Source organism: Homo sapiens, chromosome X (genome assembly GCF_000001405.40).
Source record: "Homo sapiens chromosome X, GRCh38.p14 Primary Assembly".
In the NCBI taxonomy this organism is placed as follows: domain Eukaryota; kingdom Metazoa; phylum Chordata; class Mammalia; order Primates; family Hominidae; genus Homo; species Homo sapiens.
The window spans coordinates 69,438,996-69,449,608 of NC_000023.11; the positions used below are offsets into that span (position 1 = coordinate 69,438,996).

A 10,613-nucleotide genomic window follows, 5' to 3' on the forward strand; every position below is an offset into this window, starting at 1 on the left:
TGGATTTGGTTTGCAAGTATTTTCTTGATAATTTTTGCATTGATGTTCATCAAGGATGTTGGCCTGAAGTTTTCTTTTTTTTGTTGTGTCTCCACCAGGTTTTGGTATCAAGATGATGCTGGCATCATAGAATGAGTTAGGGAAAAGTCCCTCCCCCTCAATTTTTGGGAATACTTTCAGTAGGAATGGTACCAGCTCTTCTTTGTACATCTGGTAGAATTCGGCTGTGAAACCATCAGGTTCTGGGCTTTTTATGGTTTGTAGGCTATTTATTACTGATTCAATTTTGGAGTTTGTTATTGATCTGTTCAAGGAATCAGTTTCTTCCTGGCTCTGTCTTGGGAGGGTGTATGTGTCCAGGAATTTATCCATCTCTTCTAAGATTTCTAATTTGTGTGTGTAGAGGTGTTCATAGTGTTTGTTGATGGTTTTTATTTCTGTGGGGCCAGTAGTAACATTCCCTTCCTCATTTCTTTCTTTTTTTTTTCTTTTTGTCTTTTTTTTTGAGATGGAGTCTCACTCTGTCACTCAGGCTGGAGTGCAGTGGTGTGATCTTGGCTCATGGGCTCACTGCAACCTCTGCCTCCCAGGTTCAAGTGATTCTTCTGCCTCAGCATCCTGAGTAGCTGGGATTACAGGCATGCACCACCGTGCCTGGCTAATTTTTCTTTTTTTTTTTTTGTTGCCCAGGCTTCAGTGCAGTGGCACGATCTCAGCTCACTGCAAGCTCCATCTCCCAGGTTCACACCATTCTCCTGCCTCAGCCTCCTGAGTAGCTGGGACTACAGACACCCACCACCACACCTGGCTAATTTTTTGTATTTTTAGTAGAGATGGGGTTTCACCGTGTTAGCCAAGATGGTCTCGATCTCCTGACCTCACGATCTGCCCACCTTGGCCTCCCAAAGTGCTGGTATTACAGGCGTAAGCCACAGCAACTGGCTGCTAATATTTGAATTTTTAGTAGAGACGAGTTTCACCATGTTGGCCAGGCTGGTCTCAAACTCCCAACCTCAAGTGAACTGCCTACCTCAGCCTCCCAAAGTGCTGGGATTACAGGCGTGAGCCACCACACCCAGCCTCCCTTCATCATTTCTAATTGTATTTATTTGGATCTTGTCTCTTTCCTTCTTAATTAGTCTAAGCTAGTGGCCTGTCTATTTTATTAATTTTTTCAAAAAACCAACTCCTGGATTTGTTTATTTTTTTGAATGGTTTATTGTGTCTTGATTTTCTTCAGTTCAGCTCTGATTTTTGTTACTTCTCATCTTCTACTAGCTTTGGGGTTGATTTCTTCTTGCCTCTTGAATTCTTTCAGTTGTGAATCTAAGTTGCTAATTTGAGATCTTTCTAACTTTTTGTTGTATTTAGTGCTATGAATTTCCTGTTTAACACTGCCTTAACTGTGTCCCAGAGATTCTGGTGTATTATATCTTCGTTCTCATTATTTTCAAAGAACTTCTTGATTTCTGCCTTAATTTCATTATTTACTGAAGTCATTCAGGAGCATGTTGTTTAATTTCCATGTAATTGTATGGTTTTGAGCAATTTTCATTGTATTGACTTGTATTTTTATTGTGCTGTGGCCTGAGAGTGTGTTTGGCATGATTTCATTTTTTTTACATTTGTCAAGGATTGTTTTATGTCCAGTTATGTGGTTGATTTTAGAGTATGTGCCATGTGGTGATGAGAAGAATGTATATTCTGTTGTTTTGGGGTGGAGACTTCTTAAAAGTCTATCAAATCCATTTGATCCAATGCTGAGTTTAGGTCCTGAATATCTTTGTTAATTTTCTGCCTCAAAGATCTGTGTAATACTGTCAGTGGAGTGTTGAAGATTCCCACTATTATTATGTGGGAATCTATGTCTGTTGTCAGGTCTCTAAGAACTTGCTTTATGAATCTAGGTGATCCTGTGTTGGGTGCATATATATTTAGGACAGTTAAGTCTTCTTATTGAATTGAACACTTTAACATTATGAAATGCCCTTTTTTGTCTTTTTTGATTTTTGTTGGTTTGAAATCTGTTTTGTCTGAAATTAAAATTGCAACTCCTGCTTTTTTCTGTTTCTCATTTGCTTGTTAGATTTTTTTCCATCCCTTTATTTTGAGCCTATGAGTGTCATTACCTGTGAGATGGGTCTCTTGAAGACAGCATAAAGTTGGGTCTTGCTTTTTTTTTTAATCCAGCTTGACACTTTGTGCCTTTTAAGTGGGGTCACTTAGCCTATTTACATTCAAGGTTAGTGTTGATATGTGGGATTTGATCCTGTCATTGTGCTGTCAGCTGGTTATTATGTTGGCTTGTTTGTGTAGTTGTTTTACAGTGACACTGGTCTGTGTGTTTAAGTGTGTTTGTGTATTAGCTGGTAGCAGCCCTTCTTTTCTATATTTAGTGCTTCTTTCAAGATCTCCTGTAAGGCAAGTCTGGTGGTAATGAAGTCCCTCAACATTTGCTCATCTGAAAAGGATCTTTTTTCTTCTTCACATATGAAGCTTAGTTTGGCTGAATATGGAATTCTTGGTTGAAGAATTTTTTTATTTAACAATGTTGAATTTAGTCCCCCAGTCTCTTCTGGTTTGTAGGGTTTCAGCTGAGAGGTCCACTGTTAGCCTGATGGGGATCCCTTTGTAGGTGACCTGCCCTTTCTCTCTAGCTGCCTTTAACATGCTTTCTTTCATTTTGACCTTGGGAAATCTGACAATTATATGTCTTGGGATGACCTTGTGTATCATCTTGCCGGAGTTCTCTCTATTTCCTGAATTTGACTGTTGGCTTCTCTATCAAGGTTGGGAAGTTTTCATGGACAATACCCTGAAATATATTTTCCAAGTCATTTGCTTTCTCTCCCTCCCTTTCAGGGGGGCCAGTGATTCATAGATTTGGCCTCTTTACATAATCCCATACTTCTTGGAGGTTTTGTTTATTCTTTTTTCTCTATTTTTGTCTGAATGCCTTATTTCAGAAAACCAGTCTTCAAGTTCTGAGATTCTTTCCTCAGCTTGGTTTATTTTGCTGTTAATACTTGTGATTGCATTGTGAAATTATCCTATTGTGTTATTCAGCTCTGTCCGACGTGTTAGGTTTTCTTTATACCAGCTATTTCATTCTTCAGCTCCCTTATCACTTTATTGTGATTCTTATTTTCCTTGGATCAGGTTTTGCCATCCTCCTGCATCTCAACAATCTTTGTTCCAATCCATATTCTGAATTCTATTCCTGTCATTCCAGCCAGTTCAGCTTGGTTAAAAACTCTTGTTGGAGAACTGGTGTGGTTGTTTGGAGGACATATGACACTGGCCATTTGAGTTATCGGAGTTCTTGTGTTGGTTCTTTCTCATCTCTGTGTGTGGCTGTTCCTTTAACTGCAGTGTAGATTGAGTACAGTAATATACTTCCTTTCTGGATGTTTTCACCTGGCAGAGGCTTTGTGTAGGATCTTTATTTGAAGCTGACTTCTTCTCTCTGGTTTCACAGGGGTGTACGTTAGCAAGGTCTTTTTTGTGTTGAAGCTTTGGGGTGTGATCCAGCAGGTGGCACTTAGGCTTACTGGTCAGTTGGTAGACTCTTGCTCAGTTGTGTGATTCCCCTATGTTTCCTCACAGTTGAAGCCATGTTCCCTCTCAGTTCTCTGAAAGTGAGGATTCCTCTCCCCCTTGAGTGCTGGCTGTAGTTCATGGCAATTTCAGTGTTTGTGTTTCTTCCCCAGGTGAGAGACAGCAGATGAAGGGATCTCAGTAGTGGTTGGGGCCAAGGGTTGTTTGCTTGACTCCTGGGGGCCCCACCCCAGAGAGATGTAGGACAGCAATCTCTCAGTGCAGTCAGCCCAAGATGGAGGGTTTCTGCTGTGGCCACAAGCCAGGGGTTCCCTGTCTGGTGATGAGCTCTGAGGGGTGTGTGGGACCCATGGGAGACAGACTGGCCTCCTCTCCTTGGGTTGACTGTAGTTTGCTGATGGTATGGATAAGGTACTTAGGGTCTTTGCTCCTTCATTAGTCCAAGGGTGGCAAGGGAAGTTCCACTGGAAAGGCAGTGGCAGAGAGGCTTCCGGTGCCCCTGGGGGCTCTGTCCTGGGAGTTGCTGAGTTGCTACTGGCTCAATAGCTCTGGCGGGGAGTGGCTGGAGGCCCAGGCCTAGAGGACCTGTGTGAGGAGCTATGGGAACAGGCATCCACGTTACAGTCTGGCCCCTTTTACACAGGGTTGATGCAGTATGCTTGGGGCCTGCTCCAGTCCCTAGTCACCTCAGGTTTTCCAGAACCTGGAGGTGTCACTAGTGAAGACTGCAAAACAGCAAAGATGGCAGCCTGCCCTCCCCCTGGGAGCTTTTTCCCAGGGAGGTTCAGACCTGTTGCCAGCCCAAAGGCACCTGTAGGAAGTGACTGGAGACCCCAGTTGGGAGGTCACACTAGTGAGGAGGAACAGGATCAGGACCTGATTTAAAAAGCAGTCTGCCCACGTTTTGGTAGAACAGTTGTGCTGTGCTGGGGGTCCACTTCAGCCCCTGGTCACCTCAGACACTCTGAAGCTCAAAGGCTGGAATGGCTAAGTCACCCAAACAGCAGAGATGGTGGCCCACCTCCCCCTCTGGGAGCACCATCCCAGGGGGAATTCAGATCTCTGTCAGATGTAGAGCTTGGGCAGGGGTGGCTGGAGGACCTGGTTGTGAGGTCCCACCCAGCGAGGAGGAATGGGATCGGGCATCCACTTAAAGCAGCAGTCTGGCCACATTTTGGTAGAGAAGCTGTGCTGTACCAGAGGATCAGTTCTGCCCTGCGTCAGCTCACACTCTCCAAAGCCTGAAGGCTAGAACAGCTAAGGTACCCGAACAGCAAAGATGGTGGACTACACCTCCCCCAAGGAGCTCCTTCTTAGGGAGGTGTAATGCCACTACTGGTAGCCAGCTGGAACTCCAATCCAGTAGGTCTTATCTTGTGAGGTGCCATGGAAGTGGGGCCTGCAGGCTGTTGCTGCTCAGCCCTCTGGATTCTGCCTCTTTCCTACTATTCTACTTTCCCACTTTGCTGAAGCTGCAGCTACTTTTGCCAGAAATCCCAAGTATCTAAGGCTCCAGGGTCTCTGTGCACGCCTGAGCTCTGCTGAAACTCCACATAGCTCTGACTGTCAGACTGAATGCTGAAGGCCCTGGTGGAGTGGGTTCACAAGATCTCCTGACCTGAGGTTTGCAAAGATCTGTGGGAGAAGCATGGTTTCCAGGGGTCACTCATTCACTCATTACTTCCCTGGGCATGGGAGGATCCTTTGGCTCTGTGTTGCTCCCAGGTGGGCTGTTGTCCTGTCTCACTTTTCTCCCTTCCCTGTGGGTCAAGTTGTTTCCTTGATTAATCCCAATGGGCATACCTGGATGTTTCAGTTGAGCATATTGTATTTACTCACCCTTTCTCTTCCTTTCCATGACAGCCATGCACACTAGCTGCTTCTAGTCAGCCATTTGGCCACTCCTTGTATTTTGGATATTAAGTTTTTATCAGTACCATCATAAAAACAGACCTATAGACCAATGGAACAGAATAGAGAGCACAGAATTAGACGCACACATCTATAGTTAACTGATCTTCAACCAAGGTACCAAGAATACACAACAGGGAAAGGACAGTGTCTTCAACAAATAGTGTTGGGAAAACTCAATACCTGCATGCAAAAGAATGAAATTAGACCCTTATCTTACACCTTACACAAAAATAAACTCAAAATGGGTTAAACATTTAAACATAAAATCTGATACTAAAACTCCTAAAAGAAAACATAGAGGAAAAGCTTTATGACATTGGTCATAATTAACGAATTTAAAGTAAAACTTTAATTAAATTAACTCTAATTAAAGTAAACTAACTCTAACTAAAGTAAAAATTTGGCAAAACGAAAAAACAATTTTTAACTTTAAGATACCAATGACCTCTCATTACTTATTTTTCCATATCCAAACCTGGGCCTCAGTTCTTTTTCTATTTTCCGAAAGTTAATTTGTATTGAAGTATAACATATAAATAGAAAAGTGTATATATCTTAAGTGTCTAGCTTGATAACTTTTCTTTTCTTTTCTTTTCTTTTCTTTTCTTTTCTTTTTTATGGAGTCTCGCTCTGTCACCCAGGCTGGAGCGCAGTGGCAAGATCTCGGCTCACTGCAACCTCCAACTCCCTGGTTCAAGCAATTCTCCTGCCTCAGCCTTCTGAGTAGCTGGGATTACAGGTGCATGGCACCACACCTAGCTAATTTTTTTGTATTTTTAGTAGAGACAGGGTTTCACCATGTTAGCTAGACTGGTCTCAAACTCCTGACCTCAGACAATCTGCCCACCTCAGCTTCCCAAAGTGTTGGGATTACAGACGTGAGCCACCTTGCCTGGCCAATAAATTTTCTTTAAGTGAACAAATCCATGTAACCAACACCCAGATCAAGAAACAGAGCATTACCCCAGAAGCCTCACTTTACATCCTGTTCTGTCACTATCTCCCAAAGGTAACTCTATTCTAACTTCTAACATTGTAGGTCAATTTTATCTGTTTTGGAACTTTATAGAATGGACTTATATAGTATGTACTTTTTTATCTGGCCTCTTTTGCTCAATACTTCGCTTGTAAAATTCACCCGTGTTTTGGATGGAGGTGTAATTTGTTCATTCTCATTGCTGTATAGTATTCCAGTGTATGAACACATCACAATTTATTTATCCATTATACTGGTGATGAATGTTTGGAATGTTCCAGTTTGGAGCTATTACAAATAATGCTGATAATAATGATGCATTGTCTTATACATGTCTTTTGATGGAGAAATATTTGTATTTCTGTTAGGCATATACTAGAAGTGGAATCGCTGAGAGATAAGATATGTGTATATTAAGCTTCATTAGATACTTCCAGTTTTCCAAATTTGTTGTAAAAATTTACCCTCCCACCAGCAGTGTATAAGACTGCTTACATTTAATACAATTAATTTTTTATTATTTCACATTTTTCCATTCCGGTAGGTATAAAGAAATTTCACACTGTGGTTTTAATTCACATTTCCCTGATGACTAATGAAGTTAAATACTTTTTCATATGTTTACTAGTCATTCCAGTATCTTTGTTTTTTTGGGGGGGTTATTTTTGTTTTTCTTTGTGATTTACAAGTGTTTCTTATATAGTCTAGATACAATCTTCTGTTGGATCTATACATTGCAAATACCTTTACCTGCTTTGTGACTTCTCTTTTCACTTGTTAATGGTACCTTTTGATAAACAGAAGTTCTTAGTTTCAATACAATCCAATTTAACAATGTTTTCTTAAATGGTTAGTACTTTTATGTCCTGATCATGAAATCTCTGCTTATCTTAAGGTCATGAAGATATTCTCTATTTTTTTCCCTAAAAGCTCTATTGTTTTGCTTTTCACATTTAGATCTCTGATCATGCAGCTTTTGATTTAACAGACATATGGGTGTAGCAGAAAAAGGCTCTGGGCCCTTGTAAGAAGTAAGAGTAAGAATTAAAACCATCACACACACTAATGAAGGCCCCCAATGAACCAAACCTTAGTAAAGTATAGACTAGAAAAAAATCCCACTTCATAATCATATGAGAAAACAAGCACTTAGCTGTTTTGACTTTAGCATTATTGTATATGTATCAGTGAAGTCTCTTTTAAGGATTCGTACCACAAAGAGTTAAGGCTAAAATTTATATGACTTGTATGTCCAGGAAATTGCAACTAAATATTAACAAAAGTATTCCCAGATTGGTAGTGGTCTGGCGTGCCTAGTAGAAGCAAAGGTAAATCAACTGCAAGGATGGAACTTCAACCCAGGCCATACAGAACTCTGACAAATAAAGCCACATAAAACTGAGCTCACAATTCAAAGAAACAAAAGGCATGAGGAAATATGACACCATTAGTGAGAATTGGCAGAAATAAGACAACAGGATTATACCTCTATGAAATCCATATAATGGAATTAGCAGGTACAGAATATATGTCTCATATGGTAAAAGAAATAAAACTTAAAACAAGAAAAGGAAAAAGGAGCAATATACTATTTGAAAAAGACCGGAAATTATTTTCAGATTTTTAAAATAAAAACTTTTGAGATAATTATAGATTCACGTGCATTTGCAAGAAATAATGCAGAGAGATCCCATTATCTTTTACCCAGTTTCCCCCAATGGTAACATCTTACGTAACTATAGCACAATATCACAACCAGGATATTGACATGGAAACAACCCATTGATTTTATTCAAATTTCTCCAGTTTTACTTATAATCATTTATTTGTGTGTGTGCATTTAGTACTATGCAATTCTATTACTTATAAATTCATGTATCTGCCACCACAGTTAAGATATAAAAGTTCTATCACCATCAGGCTCCCTCATGTTGCCCTTTTATAACCCACCTCCTTCCTGCTCCCTCTCCCATACCTAATCCTTAGCACCCACTTATCTTTTTTTCATCTCTATAATTTTGTCATTTCAAAAATGCTATATAAATGGGATCATACAGTATGTAATATTTCAAGGTTAGTGTTTTTTACTGGCCATAATTCCCTGGAGATTTATCCCAGTGGTTGTGTTCATCAAGTTTGTTCTTTTTTGTTGCTGAGTAGTGAGAGATAGGACTAGCTGGATTTCCTAGGCCGACTAAGAATTCCTAAGCCTAGCTGGGGAAGGTGACCATGCCTATCTTTAAACTCGGGGCTTGTAACTCAGCTCACACCCAACCAATCAGGTAGTAAAAAGGGCTCACTAAAATACAAATTAAGCTAAAAGCAGGAGGTAAAGAAATAGTCAAATCATATATCGCCTGAGAGAACAGGGGGAGGGACAATGATCAGGATATAAACCCAGGCATTTGAGCAGGGAGTGGGCAACCCCCTTTGGGTCCCCTCCCATTGTATGGGAGCTCTGTTTTCACTCTATTAAAGCTTGCAACTGCACACTCTTCTGGTCCTTGTTTGTTACAGTTGGAGCTGAGCTTTCGCTCACCGTCCACCACTGCTGTTTGCCACCATGGCAAACACTGACTTCCACCCCTCCAGATCTGGCAGGGTATCCACTGTGTTTCTGATACAGCAAGGTGCCCATTGCCGCTCCTGACTGGGCTAAAGGCTCGTCATTTTTCCTGCATGGCTAAGTGCCCAGGTTCATCCTAATTGAGCTGAAAACTGGTCGCTGGGTTCCATGGTTCTCTTCTAGGACCCATGGCTTCTAATAGAGCTATAACACTCACCACATGGCCCAAGGTTCCATTCCTTGGAATCCGTGAGGCCAAGAACCCCAGATCAGAGAACAAAAGGCTTGCCATCATCTTGGGAGTGGCCCATCCCATCTTGGGAGCTCTAAGAACAAAGACCCGCCCATAACAGTAGTATTCTGGGGAGGAGCCAAGAAGGCCTAATAGGAACAGCTCCTGTCTACAGCTCCCAGCATGAGCAATGCAGAAGACGGGTGATTTCTGCATTTCCATCTGAGGTACCAGGTTCATCTCACTTGGGAGTGCCAGACAGTGGGCGCAGGTCAGTGGGTGCACACACTGTACACGAGCCGAAGCAGGGCGAGGCATTTCCTCACTTGGGAAGTGCAAGGGGTCAGGGAGATCCCTTTCCGAGTCAAAGAAAGGGGTGACGGACGCACCTGGAAAATTGGGTCACTCCCACGCGAATACTGCACTTTTACGACCGGCTTAAAAAACGGTGCACCACGAGATTATATCCCGCACCTGGCTGGGAGGGTCCTATGCCCATGGAGTCTCGCTGCTTGCTAGCACAGCAGTCTGAGATCAAACTGCAAGGCAGCAGCGAGGCTGGGGGAGGGGTGCCCGCCATTGCCCAGGCTTGCTTAGGTAAACAAAGCAGCCAGGAAGCTCCAACTGGGTGGAGCCCACCAAAGCTCAAGGAGGCCTGCCTGCCTCTGTAGGCTCCACCTCTGGGGGCAGGGCACAGACAAACAAAAAGACAGCAGTAACCTCTGCAGACTTAAATGTCCCTGTCTGACAGCTTTGAAGAGAGCAGTAGTTCTTGCAGCACTCAGCTGGAGATCTCAGAACGGGCAGACTGCCTCCTCAAGTGGGTCCCTGACCCCTGAGCAGCCTAACTGGGAGGCACCCCCCAGCAGGGGCACACTGACACCTCACATGGCAGGGTACTCCAACAGACCTGCAGCTGAGGGTCCTGTCTGTTAGAAGGAAAACTAACAAACAGAAAGGACATCCACACCAAAAACCCATCTGTACATCACCATCATCAAAGACCAAAAGTAGATGAAACCACAAAGATGGGGAAAAAACAGAAGAGAAAAACTGGAAACTCTAAAAAGCAGAGCGCCTCTCCTCCTCCAAAGGAATGCAGTTCCTCACCAGCAATGGAACAAAGCTGGATGGAGAATGACTTTGACGAGCTGAGAGAAGAAGACTTCAGATGATCAAATTGCTCTGAGCTACGGGAGGACATTCAAACCAAAGGCAAAGAAGTTGAAAACTTTGAAAACAATTTAGAAGAATGTATAACTGGAATAAGCAATACAGAGAAGTGCTTAAAGGAGCTGATGGAGCTGAAAACCAAGGCTCGAGAACTACGTGAAGAATGCAGAAGCCTCAGGAGCCGATACGATCAA

The 10,613-nt window shown here is 42.4% G+C and overlaps 1 annotated feature.

Annotated features, from left to right (window-relative positions):
• Positions 9,775-10,275: an enhancer, noted in NCBI's record as "H3K4me1 hESC enhancer chrX:68668613-68669113 (GRCh37/hg19 assembly coordinates)". NCBI's record gives its function as "activates a minimal SCP1, AML or CMV promoter by ChIP-STARR-seq in primed H9 embryonic stem cells {active_cell/tissue: H9 hESC(primed)}" and the evidence as "EXISTENCE:reporter gene assay evidence [ECO:0000049][PMID:30033119]".